Raw genomic sequence first — 17655 nt, 5'->3', positions numbered from 1 at the left:
GGCCAAGAGAAGTGACTTTTTTTTTTTTTTTTTTTTTTTTTGGGACAGAGTCTTGCTCTGTTGCCCAGGCTGGAGTGCAGTGGTGCAATCTCAGCTCACTTCAACCTCCACCTCTCTGGTTCAAGGATTCTTGAGCTTCAGCCTCCTGAGTAGCTGGGGCTACAGGTGCACGCCACCAGGCCCAGCTAATTTTTCTTTTTTTGCTTTTTTGAGACAGGGTCTTGCTCTGTCACCCAGGTTGGAGTGCAATGGCACCATCTCGGCTCACTGCAACCTCTGCCTCCTAAGTTTAAGCGATTCTCATGCCTTAGCCTCCCAAGTAGCTGGGTCTACAGGTATGCACCACCATGCCAGGCTAATTTTTGTATTTTGAATAGAGACGGGATTTTGCCATGCTAGCCAGGCTGGTCTCGAACTCCTGGCCTCAAGTGATCTGCCCACCTTGGCCTGCCAAAGTGCTGGGATTACAGGCGAGAGCCACCATGTCTGGCCCTTAATTTTTATTTTTTTATTTTTAGTCGAGATGGGGTTTCGCCATGTTAGCCAGACTGGTCTTGAACTCCTGGCCTCAACTGATCCACCCGCCTCAGCCTCCCAAAGTACTGGGATTTCAGGGGTGAGCCACTGTGCCCGGCCAGAAGTGACTGCCTTAAGGAGACATTTCAGAGAAGAACAGGCAGATACGGGGGCAATGTCAAATCACCCCAAACAGGTGAAAATGAACACCATTAACTGGGAGGGCTGGCTGGGCTAGGCAGTCATCACGAAGGACTGGAAGGGGGCTCTGAGGGCCTAGGACACAGAGCTCACCCCGGAGTGTGAGGTTTTTCCGGTGCCACATGCAGAAGGCTGGCATCCCTCAGCTGGTCCACAGATCTGCTGTAGCCCTAATACTGAAATTAGGCATATACAGTAAACATAACAACAAAGACAACATTTTTAGCTCTGTTAGGCCCAGGATGAGAAATAAATTCACAACCTCAAAGGAAAATGGAAATGTCACATCCTTTTCAAGTTCCTGGTAGTACCTGTACATTCCAAACTGGAGAACAGACTATTCATTTACTTTGAAAATGGACTTTTTTTTTTTTTTTTTTTTTTTCCTGAGATGGAGTCTTGCTCTGTCGCCCAGGCTGGAGTGCAGTGGCTTGACCTTGGCTCACTGCAACCTCCACCTCCCAGGTTCAAGCGATTCTCCTGCCTCAGCCTCCCGAGTAGCTGGAATTACAGGCGCCCGCTACCACGCCTGACTAATTTTTATATTTTAGAGACGGGGTTTCGCCATATTGGCCAGGATGGTCTTGATCTCCTGACCTCATGATCCGACTGTCTTGGCGTCCCAAAGTGCTGGGATTACAGGTATGAGCCACTGTGCCCGGCAGAGAATGGGCCTTTTAAATTTTTTTTATATTTTTATTTACATTTTTGAGACAAAGTCTCACTCTGTTGCCCAAACTGGGGTGCAGTGGTGTGATCTCTGCTCACTGCAACCTCCACCTCCCGGGTTCAAGCGATTCTCCTGCCTCAGCCTCCTGAGTAGCTGGGACTACAGGCGTGTGCCACCATGCCCGGCTAATTTTTTTATTTTTAGTAGAGACGGGGTTTCACTATGTTGGCCAGGCTGGTCTTGAACTCCTGACCTCAGGTGATCCACTGCCTCGGCCTCCCAAAGTGCTGGAATTACAGGCGTGAGCCACCGCACCTGGCCTGAATGGACCTTTTTAAATGTAAGATTGTTTCTCCTAGTCTTCTTGTATTTACAAATTCCATGAAGACTAAAATTTAGAGTTCATCTCCGCAAATACTCCTCAATCCCACCTCCTCTCAACACAAAGATCTCTCTATATAATTCCTGATAAGAGAGCAACCTTTCGCTGAAGAGATTTCACAGAATTCTGTAGCCAACACTCTTTGTCATCCCATGTCCCAGCCAGCACTGTGACTGTGGAACCACCCAGACCTTAGACCCCAGGGTACCCCCGTACCCCTGTTTTCTAAAATGCCTGACTCATCCTGCCCAGGCTTTCATGAAGAAAGCGAAGTGAAAGCCTCCCACACGCCTTTAAAAATGTCTCCTCTAAATTCCAGTTGTCGTAGTAACATCTTCACGCTGCCTTGGTGCCTTTATATATTTTGGTGCTGATGGACCCTCCGTTACCATGAGAACAGAAGTAGATTTAAACAAAGAGAATTTTGTGGCACTTATCTTAATGTCTTATGGAAAACAAAACCCATGCCCACGGCGACCGCCTCAGAAGAGTTCAGAGGGTTTAACAATGGAATGGCAAGAAGTCCTGAGTTCCTGGGACCTAGAACGCCACTGGAGTTCCATTTCATTTGTTCTTCGAATTTTATTTTGAGGAAAATGTGCATCGTTGTTGTTTTTAAGATTCTGTTGCACCATTGCCATTCTGAAGTGAGCAGATCTGTTGTAAACGCATATTCTTACCTTCAGCTTTGAGGACAAACTTATCACTCCTACCACAAAATTGTAACCATTTCCTGAGCTGTGCTTCACTCTACCCCCACACCCCAGCCCCACAGCCCCTTGTGACAGGGCAGTGCCAGCTGAACTGATGTTCCCTGCTATTTCAGACTCAAGGTCTGTGCATCTATTCTTTCTTTCAAAGCTAAATGTTTGAAAAATGGAAGGTCTTTGAGCTCAAGGACATTAACGCACACTTCTTCAGCACTCTCTGCATAGTCCTAATTGTCAGTTTGTTCGACTTTTTTTTTTTTTTTTTTTTTTTTTTGAGACGTTGTTTTGCTCTTGTTGCCCAGGCTGGAGTCCAATGGCACAATCTCGGCTCACTGCAACATTCACCTCCCGGGTTCAAGCAATTCTCCTGCTTCAGCCTCCCAAGTAGCTGGAATTTCAGGCATCTGCCCCCACAACCGGCTAATTTTTGTATTTTTAGTAGAGATGGGGTTTCACCATGTTGACCAGGCTGGTCTCAAACTCCTGACCTCGGGTGATCCACCTGCCTCAGCCTCCCAAAGTGCTGGGATTACAGGTGTGAGCCACCATGCCTGGCTTTGACTTTAAACTTTCCATTCTGATGTACAGAATTAAGTTTCTGTTGAGAATTTTAAATAGTTAACTTCACAGGATTTGTATGTGGGAACAAACTTGAAGGTAGGAAGAAAGCAAACCCACAGTCTGAATAGCAGGCTGTGTCAGTGACACATTCCTTAATTAGTCCTTGAGAACACTAACATGTATTGTGTATTTACCACATGCTAGGCACTATGCTAACCACATAGCCTGTTGTCTTCATCTGTTTTCTGTAGCTATAACAAAATCCATATACTGGATAATTTATAAAGATAAGAAACTATTTCTTACAGTTTTGGAGGCTGGGAGTCTGAGTGCATGGCGCCGGCATGTTTCAAGGGCCTTCTTGCTGCTTTGTAACACTGTGAAGGGCATCGCATGGTGAAAGGGCAAGAGACTGTGTCAAGTTAGGTCTCTCTTCCTTGTTTTTTTTTTTTTTTTTTTTTTTTTGAGACGGAACTTGCTCTGTTGCCCAGACTGGAGTGCAATGGTGCAATCTCGGCTCACTGCAACCCTCCGCCTCCCAGATTCAAGCAATTCTTCTGCCTCAGCCTCCTGAGTAGCTGGGACTACAGGCCCGCGCCATCATGCCTAATTTTTGTATTTTTTTTTTTTTTAGTAGAGACAGGGTTTCACCATATTGGCCAGGCTGGTCTCGAACTCCTGACACTGTGATCCGCCCGCCTTGGCCCCCCGAAGTGCTGGGATTACAAGTGTGAGCCACCGCGCCTGGCCAGAGGAGGGAGATTTCATTCCCAGGCCTCTTCTCTTGGCTTGTAGGTGGCCGCCATTTTGCTGTGTTCACGTGACCCCTTCTTCGTGTGTACACGTGGAGAGAGAGGGCAAGCTCTCTGGTGCCTGTTCTTAAAGGGACTGTGAGGCCTCTGAGCCCAAGCTAAGCCATCATATCCCCTGTGACCTGCACGTATACATCCAGATGGCCTGAAGTAACTGAAGAATCATAGAAGAAGTGAAAATGGCCTGTTCTTGGCCAGGCGTGGTGGCTCATGCCTGTACTCCTAGCACTTTGGGAGGCCGAGGCGGGCAGATCACAAGGTCAGGAGATCGAGACCATCCTGGTTAACACAGTGAAGTGAAACCCTGCCTCTACTAAAAATACAAAAAAACTAGCCGGGCGTGGTGGCGGGTGTCTGCAGTTCCAGCTACTCAGAAGGCTGAGGCAGGAGAATGGTGTGAACCCGGGATGCGGAGCTTGTAGTGAGCCAAGGTTGCGCCACTGCACTCCAGCCTGGGCGACAGAGCGAGACTCCGTCTGGGGGTGGGCGGGGGAGAAAGGCCTGTTCCTGCCTTAACTGATGACATTCCACCACAAAAGAAGTGAAAATGGCCAGTCCCTGCCTTAACTGATGACATTACCTTGTGAAATTCCTTCTCCTGGCTCATCGTGGCTCAAAAGCTCCCCCACTGAGCCCTTGTGACCCCTGCCCCTGCCTGCCAGAGAACAACCCCCTTTGACTGTAATTTTCCACTACCCACCCAAATCTTACAAAACGGCCCCCACCCCTATCTCCCTTCACTGACTCTCCTTTTTCGGACTCAGCCCGCCTGCACCCAGGTGAAATAAACAGCCTTGTTGCTCACACAAAGCCTGTTTGGTGGTCTCTTTACGCAAGTGAAAGGGACACTAATCCCATCATGGGGATTCCACACTTGCGTTAGGGTTCTTCAGGGAGACAGAACCAATAAGATACATGTATATACGAAAGGGAGTTTATTAGGGAGAACTGGCTCACACGATTACATGGCCAAGTCCCACGATAGGCTGTCTGAAAGCTAGGGAAAGAGAGAAGCCGGTAGTGGCTCAGTTCGAGTCTGAAAGCCTCAAAACCAGGGAAGCCGTCAGTGCACCCTCCAGTCTGCAGCTGAAGGCCTGAGAGCCCCTGGGAAGTCACTGGTACAAGTCCCAGAGTCCAAAGGCCAAAGAACCTGGAGTCTGCTGTCCGAGGGCAGGAGGTGGGGAAGCAAGCATCCAGCACTAGAAGGAAAAATAGAGCCAGAAGACTCAGCCAGCAAAGCTATCCCTCTTCTTCCGCCTGCTTTGTTCTAGCTGCCCTGGCAGCCGACTGGATGGTGCCCACCCACAATGAGGGTGCGTCTTCCTCTCCCAGTCCTCAACTCCAATATCAATCTCCTCTGGCGACATCTTCACAGACACACCCAGGAGGGTACTTTACCAGCCATCTAGGCATTCCTCAATGCAGTCACCCAATATTCACCGTCACAACCCTCGTGACCTCATCTAACCCTAATTACCTCCCAAAGGCCCCGCCTCCAAATACCATTACATTTGGAGTTAGGGGTTCAACAAATGAACTGAAGAGGGAAGGAACAAAAACATTCAGCTCTTAACAGGCGGTTCTTGCCCCCATCTTCTGTACATGGTGGCAGCTGGAGACATTCTGGGTGGACTGGCTGCAGGAGCCATGGTGGCCGCCCAAGGTGGAGCTGGAGAAGGCACTCGACCTTCCTTGTCCGTCCGTGGAGCCTACAGAGGGCTGAGGTCAACTTACCGGCACTGGGGAGACAGAGACTGCAGTAGAGCCCATGAATGGAGGGCTCTGGGTAAAATGCAAAGATCTGGGGTACAGGGGCAGATGCCTCTGACTGGGCACCGTGGTGAGCCAGACTTGTCATTCAAGGGAAGGACCTGTCAGCAGGCTGCTGCATTTTGACCAGAGGCCTAAACCAGGAGAACCTCAGCTGACCCATCCATCAAAGCAAAGCTGGGCCAAGGGATTCTCTCCACCACAGCAACCTAGGGGCCCGTCCCTCCCACACCCTGCGCCGCCCTTTCATCGCCTCTCAAGATCAACATTAGCCACACCTTCAAACTCTTCTGTCCTCCATCTGAGCTCACTTGGTGGTGGTGTGGACACACACAACACACACGCACACAGTGTACACATGCACTCAGAGTGTGCACGCACGCACACAGACACACGCACACATGCATATGGACATACACAGAGTGTACGCATGCACACGGGCACACGCACATGCATGCACACAGACACACGCACACAAGCACACGGATGCACGCACATGGACACACACACAGAGTGTGCACACACGCACACACAGCCTGGCTGTACGGCGGCCTCAAGCTGCGGCGTTGCCATATGGGCTCTTGGAGGCTGAATTTAGCAGGGCAGATGGAGCTCAACCACGTCCCGGAACAGATTCCCTCAGGCTGCACACACCCGGCACCACACTGTCAAAGAGGTCAAGGGTGAAGGACACAGAGAGAAGCGGTCAAGTGGTGCTGACGATTCAACTCCAAGGTCAAGGCGTGGGCCCTATTGGGTGGACACTGCTGTTTATAGCTCCCCTTGTGAAGCGTTTTTGGCAAATACGATGACAGTCCGCATGACAGTGACTGGGGACACATGAGTGAGCCCCTGAGCTCGCAGCCGCAGTTTGCATGGCCTCCCCGAGTCTGCACTCTGAGGCTCTGCCTCCAGCCTGACGTCTCATCACAGCTTCTCTACCTCCTAGTCTATATCCTACCTTCTATATCCTAGTCAGGGAGAGAACACACAAAATTGAAATAACTGCAGACGGCTGTTCACCGCATGACAGATCCAAGGTGCGAATAAGGAAATGTAGATTCCAGCTGGGTGTGTCAGGAGCGGTGAAGGGCGAGCAGGCAGGTGTGGACTGTTTTCTGTGGGAGGTGGGTTCGAGGCCTCAGAGGGTAAAGGAGTGGGGTGGGCCAGGTGACTAGTAGCCCAGGTGTGGCCTTGAGACTGGGGGGCAAGGTGTGCAGGGGCAGAGGGAGGATTGGCTTCTCTGCGCCGCGAGGGGAGAGAAGGCTTCGAGCAAAGGACTGGGGTGGTGGCCGGTCCTTCTGAGAAAGCCTCTCCCTTCTATCTGCCACCCACCCCACCCTGCCCCCACGCAGAGAGAAAGCCTCGGGGCATGGGGGCCTCTGCCCTGCATCTGCTGTCCCTCCGCCGCCACCTCTCTCAGAGACCTGGAACAAAAAGGGAGAAGCCTTGATTTTATTTTGTATTTTGTATTGTTGTAAAATATACATAAAATTTACCATTTTAACCATGCTTAAGTGTATAAATTAGCAGCATTAAGACCCTTCACAATGTTGTGTAACAATCACTGACATGCATTTAGAACCTTTTCATCATCCCAAACAAATGCTCTAAACAATAACTTCCCAGCCAGGTGTGGTGACACACCCTGCAGTCCCAGTCCCAGCTACTTGGGAGGCTGAGGCCTGAGGATTACTTGAGCCTTGGGAGGTGGAGGTTTCAGTGAGGCACGATTGTGCCACTGCATTCCAGCCTGGGTGACAGAGCGAGACTCTGTCTCAAAAAAAAACAAAAACAAAAACAAACAATAATGAGTTTCCATTCCAGCCCCTCCTCAGCAACACCCCCCTCCCACACACCACCACCACCACCACCACCACCACCACCACCACCACCACCAGCACTATTCTACATTGTGTCAATGAACTCACCTATTCTAAATTACTCATCTAGGTGAGTCATAGAATATTTGTCCTTTTGGGTCTGGCTTATTTCACTCAGCAGAATGTTTTCAAGGTTCATCACTGTTGTAGCATGTGTCAGGATTTCCTTCCTCTTTAGGGCTGAATATTGAGTGAACGCATCACATCTGTTTATCCATTTGTCTGCTCATGGACGCTTGGTTTGATTCCACCTTTTGGTCATTGTGAATAATGTTGCAATGGAAATTGCGGACAAGTATCTGTTTGGCTCCCTGCTTTCATTTCTCTTAAGTATACCCCTAGAAGGGGAATTGCTGGGTCATGTTCTATGTTTAACTTTTTGAGGAATATCCCAAACTGTTTTCCACAGTGGCTGCACTGAACCTTGATCTATTTTTTAAATTTTTTATGTTTTTTTTTTTTTTTTTGAGACAGAATCTCACTCTGTTACCCAGGCTGAAGGGCAGTGGCATGATCTCGGCTCACTGCAACCTCCACCTCTTGGATTCAAGTTATTCTCCTGCCTCAGCCTGCCAAGTAGCTGAGATTACAGGTGCCCACCACCACACCCAGCTAATTTTTTGTGATTTTAGTAGAGACGGGGTTTTGCCATGTTGGTCTGACCTCGAACTCCTGACCTCAGTTGATCCGCCTGCCTCAGGCTCCCAAAGTGCTGGGATTACAGGCCTGAGCCACCACGTTGGCTTTTTTTTTTTTTTTTTTTTTTTGAGATACAAGGTCTCACTCTGTCACCTAGGCTGGGGTGCAGTGGTGCAATCTCAGCTCACTGGAGCCTCGAACTCCTGGGCTCAAGCAATTCTCCCGCCTCAGCCTCTCAAGTAGCTGGGACTAGGGGCATGACCCACCACATCTGGCTAATTTTTTAATTTGTTTGTAGAGACAGGGTCTCTCTCTGTTGGCCAGGCTGGTCTTGCACTCCTGGCCTCAAGTGATCCTCCTGCCTCATCCTCGCGAAATGCTGGAATTACAGGCATGAGCCACCATGCCTGGCCACTTTGATCTATTTTAAAGGAAAAATGAATCTATTCTAAAAGCCTCATGCTTGGCAGGGAGGGATGGTCTACCAGCCAGATTTCAGGAGCCCAGAACCTCACTGCACTATGAAATCACATAACCAACTGTGGAGGTCCCATCTTAGCTAGAGGCACAATGACAAACTGGCTGCATCCAAAAGAGGGCGACCTAAGAGGGGGTCATGTCAAGTAAAAAGCGTCTGAAGGGATTGGGTGTCTGAGGCATCCCTCTTCACAAAGAACTGCCCCCAGGGTTATGAAAGGCCACTTTGCAGCAGGGTGGATAGACCTGCCTGCAGCCATAGAGGCAGGACCCGGGGTCTGGGTTGGGCCTGTGTGCGAGCTTCCAGGGACCAACTTTGGCTGCACACTGCTCTGAGGGCTGGAGGGTAATCTCCAAGGCTCCATGACTCTGCCAGGGCAGGAGAAGAAGACATCACAGAAGACATCATGCTCCGTGAGATTCTCTTGTTGTTAATTCTGCTTTGAACAAATGGGAAGGCTGAACTCCTAAGAATTTTTGCAATTGAAAAAAATCTTCCACTTTCTTTTTCTTTTTCTTTGAGATGGAATCTCACTCTGTCGCCCAGTCTGGAGTGCAGTGGTGCCATCTCAGCTCACTGCAACCTCTGCCTCCTGGGCTCAAGCGATTCTCCTGCCTCAGCCTCCCGAATAGCTGGGATTACAGGCATCCAACACCACAACCGGCTAATTTTTGTATTTTTAGTAGAGACGAGGCTTCGCCGTGTTGGCCAGGCTGGTCTTGAACCCCTGACTTCAGGTGATCTGCCCACCTCAGCCTCCCAAAGTGCTGAGATTACAGGCATGAGCCACCATGCCTGGCCTCCACTTTTTTTTTTCACACAAGAAATCAGGAAGCACACTGTCTCAACACAAATAATAGTGTAAATGCTGAATTATGAATTGCATTTTGATAAATGTAAGCACTAATCAAAAGAAAATATTTCACGACCGACATCTTATTTCAACAATTTCTCTAGGAGTTGGAGGTGCAGAAACAAATGCGATCAGAGATTAAGAAGAGTTTTGAGACTTGAAGCTCCGTGCTTTGTTCAGGCATCCCAAAGGCTTTGGACACCTCTACAGGCGGCTGGAGAAATTAAACACAGTGCACAGAAACAGCAAGTTGAGGAATAAGTACCAATCATGCCACCTCTTCTTCCACCCAGCTCCTGATGCCAGCTGTCTCTCAGCCTTGTGCTTTTTTAAATTGTTTTCTGAATTTTAAAAAATTCATTACAGGCTGGGTGCGGTGGTTCATGCCTATAATCCCAGCAGTTTGGGAGGCCGAGGCAGGTGGATCACTTGAGGTCAGGAGTTCGAGACTAGCCTGGCCAACATGGTGAAACCCCGTCTCTACTAAAAATACAAAAAAAATTAGCTGGGCATGGTAGGGTTACCTATAACCCCAGCTACTCAGGAGGCTGAGCCAGGAGAATCACTTGAACTGGGGAGGGGAGGTTGTGGTGAGCCAAGATCATGCCATTGCACTCCAGCCTGGGCAACAAGAGCAAAACTCCATTCAAAAAAAGAAAAAAAATTCATTACAAAAGTGGCGCCTGTCTGAGGGAGTGAGTGCTGTCCAGCCGCTATTTCTGGTTCTCCTCTGGGGCCTGTTGTGTCATCATTTTTCCCTGCTCCCTGAAAGCGAAGTGCGGCTATGTGATGTGCTTTGGCCAACAAAACAAGAGAAGTGGCACCTGTCACTTAAACTTCCCCTCCAGGTGAGAACTGTAAGAGTCTGTGGGCTGGGCGCAGTGCCTCACACCTGTAATCCCAGCACTTTCGGAGGCCGAGGTGGGCAGACCACAAGGCCAAGAGATCGAGATCATCCTGGCCAACATGGTGAAACCCCGTCTCTACTAAAAGTACAAAAATTAGCTGGGCGTGGTGGTGGGCACCTGTAGTCCCAGCTACTCGGGAGGCTAAGGCAGGAGAATCGCTTGAACCTGGGAGGTGGAGGTTGCAGTGAGCCAAGATCATGCCACTGCACTCCAGCCTGGGCGACAGAGCGAGACTCCATCGCAAAAAAAGAAAAATAAAATAAGAAGAGTCTGTGTGCAATTTATACTTCTGAGGAGGGTGACAGAGAGCAGCCTCCCCCATCTACCCTCAATGGGTGCAAAGCCTATACAAGAAATAAACCTTGGTTGCATTAAGCTGCTGAGGTTTGGGGGTTACTTGTTACTGTAATATAACTTGTTATAAAAATCTTCCATAAATATTTACTTATGTGTCAAGGTGCTGGCAATATAGCTGGGAACAAGAAAGCCATCAATAAGCTGACAAGCTCTCCTCTCAGAGAGCTACACGCTAGCAGGGAAGAGAGCCATAAACAACCCATTGTACAATTCACCATTTTGTTGTAAAGTATGGAGAGGCTGGGCGTGGTGGTTCATGCTTGTAATCCCAGCACTTTGGGAGGATGAGATGGGAGGATCACTTGAGGCCAGGAGTTGGAGACCAGACCGGGCAACAGAGCAAGACCCCTGTCTCTACAAAAAAAAAAAAAAAATTAGCCAGGTGTGGTGGCATGCACTTGTAGTCCCAGCGACTGGGGAGGCTGAGGTGGGAGGATCGCTTGAGCCCAGGAGGTCGAGGCTGCAGTGAGTGGTGACCATGCTGCTGCATTCTAGCCTGGGTGACAGGGAAAAACCCTATCTCCAAAAAAAGTATGAGGAAATGCAGGGCACTGAAGAGTGTAGGTAGCCAGGTGACCTGCCTGCCAGGGCTCGGGGAGGGCTGCTCTTGGAGGACAGAAAGCTGAGCTGGAGGATGAACGGGAGTTAGGCAGAGGGAAGGGAGACCAGTGTGGTGGGCAGAGGCAGAAGGGAGCTTGGGTGACTGGACTGCGAGGAGGAGGGTGAGGAAGGGCTAGCGGGGTGGGGGCTGGGCAGGGCCAGGCCACTCAGGACTTGTGGGCCCATGTCTCATCCCAAGAGCAACGGGATGGGCGTCATGGAAGTGTTGAGGCAGGGGAACAGTGTGCCTCTCCCCAACCCCCACTGTTGCTTTTAAAGACCAATGGCCAACGGGGATTGTGTGTGATAAGAAACATCAGGTGAAGAGAAATCAAAACCACGTCCACTCTGTCCATCTGACAGGACAGGCCGCACTCCCACTAGCCCAGCAGCAGTGGCTCTGCCTGCACTTCTGCCCAGTCTCCAGGAGCAGCAGCCACTCCAGGGACGCTGCTTCAAACTGGCTGCATCTCTAGGTTCTGACGGCCACTCAGGACACCCCTGCATCCTCCCGAGGCCCAGAGAGGGGGCACGCACTGGCCATGCCTGCTTCAGCACAGCTCAGGCCAGCATTCAGAGACCAGGAGGTGTCTGTGCCCTCATTATTATTATTATTATTATTATTATTATTATTGGCACCGGCTGAAGGTCCTGGTTCTTCCTTTCCACATTTACTCTCAGCTCCTATTTTTCAGCAGAGCCTGATGAGGACCCTTGTCCTTGTCCCCGTCCCTCATCCTCCCTGGCGTCTCTGCAATGTGCGTGGCCCCGCAGACCCTCCTTTTCTTCCACAAATGCCTCTCCAGGCTCCTCACCCTTCCCAGCTCCTCCCACAACTTTCACAGCTCCTCCTCTTCCTTCTGCCCCTAAAGGAAGGGAGGTTGTTCCCGCGGTTCCTAACTCCTTTTTTTTTTTAAAAAAATTATGTATGTATGTATTTTGAGACGGAGTCCCACTCTGTTGCCCAGGCCCAAGTGCAGTGGTGCAATCTTGGCTCACTGCAGCCTCCACCTCCAGGGCTCAAGGGATTCTTGTGCCTCAGCCTCCTGAGGAGCTAGGATTACAGGTGCCCACCACCACACCCGGGTAATTTTTGTATTTTCAGTAGAGACAGGGTTTTACCATGTTGGCCAGGCTGGTCTTGAACTCCTGGGCTCAAGCGATCCTCCCGCCTCAGCCTCCCAAAGTGCTGGGATTACAGGCGAGAGCCACTGTGCCTGGCCTCTAACTCCTTTCTTATCTCTACACTACCCTTCCCAGTTCTTGGATCCAACCATGACCTACAGTTGACAGTGCCTAAATCTACCCCCCAGCCAACACCTCTCTTCTGAGCCCTAGTCCCAAATTCTCCACTCCCCAAATCAGGCAGGACATCTCCCTGATTTTCCACAGCCATCTTCATGGCTCCAGAGAGAAAGTCTGGTTCATCCAGCTGTGGTTGTATAGCCCATGATCCCACCCTGGTCCCATCTGCACAGGCCAGTGAAGGGTTGGGGGAAGAGGTACAGAGCACAGCCGAGGTAGGGGGGCCACAGGGAGACCAACACATCAGTGGAGACCACAGGAAGAGAAGAAGCAAAAGGATGTAGAGGAACAGTCAGAGACAGGAGGAGAGCCAGAGAGAAGGTGTCAAAGCAACCAAGAGAGGACAGAGTTGCAAGACGGGAGTGAGTGAAAACAGGGGATTCGCCTTGGCAATTACCAAATTTCATCCATTCGAAGACCTCCTTTCACACTTGAACACGATGTCTCGATGTCTCACACCACAGATGGCACTTCATTGTTAAACAGAGTTAGGAACCGCAGGAATGACCTCCCTTCCTTTAGGGGCAGAAGGAAGAGGAGGAGCTAAGTTGTGGGAGGAGCTGAGAAGGGTGAAATGGGGTGAAAAACACCGTTGGGGTGTTTTTCTTCCTTCTCTCTTAGTGGTACATAAAGTGACGGAATGGCTTAAAAGCCATGGACTCTTAGAACTGATGGAACAAAGGCAGCTATGAAGCTGCTCCACTGGAGCAGTGGGGGCAGATGTCCAAATGCAATGGGTTGAAAAGGCAGAGGAGCAGCCGGGCGCAGTGGCTCACATCTGTAATCCCAGCACTTTGGGAGGCTGAGACAGGCAGATCACGAGATCAAGAGATGGAGACCAACCTGGCCAACTTGGTGAAACCTTGTCTCAACTAAAAATACAAAAATTAGCTGGGCGTGGTGGCAGGCACCTGTAGTCCCAGCTACTTGGGAGGCTGAGGCAGGAGAGTCACTTGAACCCGGGAGGCGGAGGTTGCAGTGAGCTGAGATGGTGCCACTGCACTCCAGCCTGGCAACACAGTGAGACTCTGTCTCAAAAAAAAAAAAAAAAAAGGCGGGGGGAGCAGAGGAACATTCCACAAAACAACCGGGCCAAGACTTCTCAGAAAAGTCAATGTTGGCAGGGCATGGAGGCCCATGCTTGTAATCCCAGCATTTTGGGAGGCCCAGGTGGGAGGATCGCTTGAACTCAGGAGTTTGAGACCAGCCTGGCCAACATAGTGAAACCCCATCTCTACAAAAAATACAAAAAAATTAGCTGGGTGTGGTGGCACATGCCTGTGGTCACAGCTGAAATGGGAGGATGGCTTCTGCCCAGGAGGTTGAGGCTGCAGTGAGCCATGATTGCGCCACTGCTCCAGCCTGGGCAACAGAGGGAGCCAAAAAAAAAAGAAAAAGAAAAAGAAAAAAAAAAAGGTCAATGTCATAAAAGACTCCTCCCCCCACAAAAAGGAGGGAACTGTTTCAGATTACCAGATACTAAAGAGACATAACAGCTAAATGCAATATGATCCTTGACTGGATCATCTGGATCATTGATCAAAAAATCCATTAAAAACATTATTGGGATAATTAGGAAAAAGTGAATAGTGAATACAGAGTATACATTAAATAATACTGCATGGATGCAAATTTCTTCATGTAAATGTTTTCTGTGTATATATACATATATGCATTTGTATGATATCTACATATAATATATACGTATATGAAGAGTGTGTATAAATAAATGTCACAAAATGTTAATTCATAAAGCCAGATCAATGGCTCTCAACGGGGGCAATTTTGCCTGGAGGGGACATCTGGCAATGTCTGTTTGGTTGTCATAGCCAAGGGGGTGCTAGCAGCGGGAGGCTATAGCATCCTCACTGAGGAAGCTGCTAAACATCCTATAATTCACCAGACTCCCCCAGCACAAAGAAGTATCCAGCCCAAACCATCCAGGGTGCTGGGGTTGAGAGCCTTCATCTATGTGAAAAGTCTGGGTGTTCACTGTACTTTCTTTCAACCTTCCTGTGGATTTTTAATTTTTTATTTTATTTAATTTTTTTGAGACAGAGTCTCTCTGTCACCCAGGCTGGAGTGCAATGGTGTGATCTTGGCTCACTGCAACCTCTGCCTCCTGGGTTCAAGCGATTCTCCTGCCTCAGCCTCCCGAGTAGCTGGGACTACAAGGCATGTGCCACTGGACCTGGCCAATTTTTAATTTTTTTAAATACAAAGTTGGGGCCGGGCACGTTGGCTCACACCTGTAATCCCAGCACTTTGGGAGGCCAAGGTGGGCGGATCACCCACTGACTTCCACTCGAAGTCAGGACTTTGAGACCAGCCTGGCCAACATGGTGAAACCCCGTCTTTACTAAAAATACAAAAATCAGCCAAGTGTGGTGGCGCGCCCCTGTAGCCCCAGCTACTCAGGAGGCTAAGGTGGGAGAATCACTTGAACCCAGGAGGCTGAGGTTGCAGTGAGCCAAGATTGTGCCACTGCACTCCAGCCTGGGTGACAGAGCAAGACTCTGTCTCAAAATAAATAAATAAAATACAAAGGTGGTAACCAAAAAAAAGTGAGAGGAAAAAAATGTGTGACAGAAAGGTGAGGAAGTAAAGGAAAAAGACCAAAGAGTAAGCAAGTTCTTCCCAGGATCTTTACTCTAAAGGGATAGACTTCAGCCTGAGGGAGAGACAAAGAGACAGAAGCAAACCCTCATGCAATCTGTGGTCTCCATGCCCCAACCCCAAGGCAGATTCCTGGGTGGGTATTTTGCAGGTCCTGACCGTTGCCACCCTCAGGCATAGCTGATGGGGGTGGGAAGCCCCGGACCCCCACAGCTCATTCAGTGGCTGCCACGACACAGCCTGGCCCCGAAAGACAAGGGTGGTCAATCAGACTCTTGCTCCTGTCAAACCCTGAGAATAAGGCATTTAGGAGAGGAAGCTGGAGCTCAACGCAAGCAAAGACAGAGACCAGAAAGTAAAGCAGGAGTCACAGGGGATCCCGGAGGATCACAACAAGCTGTGGTGGTAGAGACGCTGAAACCGACAGAAGGCAGAACTCACAGGGGGAGAAAGCGGTGCAGAGCCAAGAGGACCAGGCAGCCGCTGCTCGCGGAGTCTGCCCTCTCACTACAGCAGCTCAGGAACGAGGAGTCACCACGCTGCTGCTGCTGTCCTTGGTGCCGGCTGGGATCCTGGAGCCACCAGGCTGGCCTGAAGGGGTCTACTGGGATTTCACAAGGTTCTCGTCGCCCCCTCCCCCAGTCACTGCTCTGTTCAGTCCCTTCGCTCTGCCACGCTCCCTTCTTCGTGCCTTTGCACGTGCTCTGGCCCTGTCTAACTTAGTCCAGGGGCAGAGCCAGGTTTTGTGGGGCCTAGAGCTTGGGGACTTTCTTTAAGAAAAAGAACACAACAGCATGACACAAAACGGCCACGGCTTTGCTGGCTTCGTGGTAAATCCCTCTCCAGCTCTCAACTCCAACATCCCTTCCTCAGTAACATCTTCCTGCCTCTCTCCCCCTCCCCAACTGTGTCAGAGCATTTCCGCAGGTAGCTCTGCGCTGTCTGATACAATAGCCGCTAGCCACATGCGGCTACTTAAATTTGAATGAATTACAATTAAACCATATGAGACATTCAGATCTTCAGTCGCACTGACCACATGTCATGCTCAGCAGCCCCACGTGTTCGAGCCTGTGATGGACCGTGCAACATAGAACATCTCCATTATCAGAGATGATTCTCCTGGACAGTGCTGGTACACCAAGCAGCACCAACTGATACCTACTCACCTTCAGCTCCGCGTAGACTGCAGCCTCAGGAGAACAGGACCATATGTCTCTTGGCCTCATGTCTGTCGCCCAGTACCTGGCACACACAGGCCCTTGATAAACACTCATTTAATGAATGTGCAATTCTTACTGGTCCACAGGTCTTTGGACCACCCTCACTCCTAACTTCAATGAGCCCCAGATTCTTGCATTAAAAAGTGGGGAAAAGAGTCTCTCTTTTCCAGGCTATGAGGAAGGAGCTGGCAGGGAGGAAGAGCTCGAAAATGCAGAAGACAGACTTGCCCTAGAATAAAAATGTGTACCCTCGTGTACATGGAGATACACTCATACCAGCACGTAGAAAACAGCCTGAGTATACACCAAATGTGACAAATGGCTGACAGAACTTAGCTGTAGATGGGCGGGACTTGGGGTGATTCTAATTGTCTTATTTGTGGTTCTTGTTTTTCCCAAGTGTTCCCTGTGTACTTTTTTTTTTTTTTTTTTCCTGAGATGGACTCTTGCTCTGTCACCCAGGCTGGAGTGCAGTAGTGTGATCTCAGCTCACTGCAACCTCTGCCTCCTGAGTTCAAGCAATTCTCCTTCCTCAGCCTCCTGAGTAGCTAGGATTGCAGGTGTGTGCCACCATGCCTGGCTAATTTTTGTATTTTTAGTACAGACGGGGTTTCACCATGTTGGCCAGGCTGGTCTCGATCTCCTGACCTCGTGATCCGCCTGCCTCGGCCTCCCAAAGTGCTGGGATTACAGGTGTGAGCCACCATGCCTGGCATTTTTTTTTTTCTTGAGACACGGTCTCAGTCTGTCACCCAGGCTGGAGTGCAGTGGTGCAGTCTCAGCTCATTGCAACTTCCACCTCCTGGGTTCAAGTGATTCTCCTGCCTCAGCCTCCCAAGTAGCTGGGATTACAGGCATGCACCACCACGCCCAGCTAATTTTTGTATTTTTAGTAGAGACGGTGTTTTACCATGTTGGTCAGGCTGGTCTCGAACTCCTGACCTCAGCTGATCTGCCCACCTTGGCCCCCCAAAGTGCTGGGATTACAGGCGAGAGCCACTGTGCCCCAGCTCCTGTGTATATTTTTAAAGGGCTAATCAGGGAAGTAGGCTCTACATCCTGAAATGAGGGAGAAAGGATTCCAAAGCCAAGTGGAAGTCAGTTCAAAAACAGAGTCTTCCTGGAGACCATGTGAGGGTGGAAGCAGGCAGAGTGGAGGGGACCTATTCAG

General features: G+C 49.9%; 3 annotated features.

Annotated features, from left to right (window-relative positions):
• Nucleotides 3732-4249: an enhancer, noted in NCBI's record as "NANOG-H3K27ac-H3K4me1 hESC enhancer chr7:129174203-129174720 (GRCh37/hg19 assembly coordinates)". NCBI's record gives its function as "activates a minimal SCP1, AML or CMV promoter by ChIP-STARR-seq in naive H9 embryonic stem cells {active_cell/tissue: H9 hESC(naive)}" and the evidence as "EXISTENCE:reporter gene assay evidence [ECO:0000049][PMID:30033119]".
• Nucleotides 4250-4767: an enhancer, noted in NCBI's record as "NANOG-H3K27ac-H3K4me1 hESC enhancer chr7:129173685-129174202 (GRCh37/hg19 assembly coordinates)". NCBI's record gives its function as "activates a minimal SCP1, AML or CMV promoter by ChIP-STARR-seq in naive H9 embryonic stem cells {active_cell/tissue: H9 hESC(naive)}" and the evidence as "EXISTENCE:reporter gene assay evidence [ECO:0000049][PMID:30033119]".
• Nucleotides 11642-12143: an enhancer, noted in NCBI's record as "H3K4me1 hESC enhancer chr7:129166309-129166810 (GRCh37/hg19 assembly coordinates)". NCBI's record gives its function as "activates a minimal SCP1, AML or CMV promoter by ChIP-STARR-seq in naive H9 embryonic stem cells {active_cell/tissue: H9 hESC(naive)}" and the evidence as "EXISTENCE:reporter gene assay evidence [ECO:0000049][PMID:30033119]".

This window comes from Homo sapiens, chromosome 7, assembly GCF_000001405.40.
Source record: "Homo sapiens chromosome 7, GRCh38.p14 Primary Assembly".
In the NCBI taxonomy this organism is placed as follows: domain Eukaryota; kingdom Metazoa; phylum Chordata; class Mammalia; order Primates; family Hominidae; genus Homo; species Homo sapiens.
Note: the sequence above shows the minus strand (reverse complement) of the source record. Positions and strands in the feature narration are given on the sequence as shown.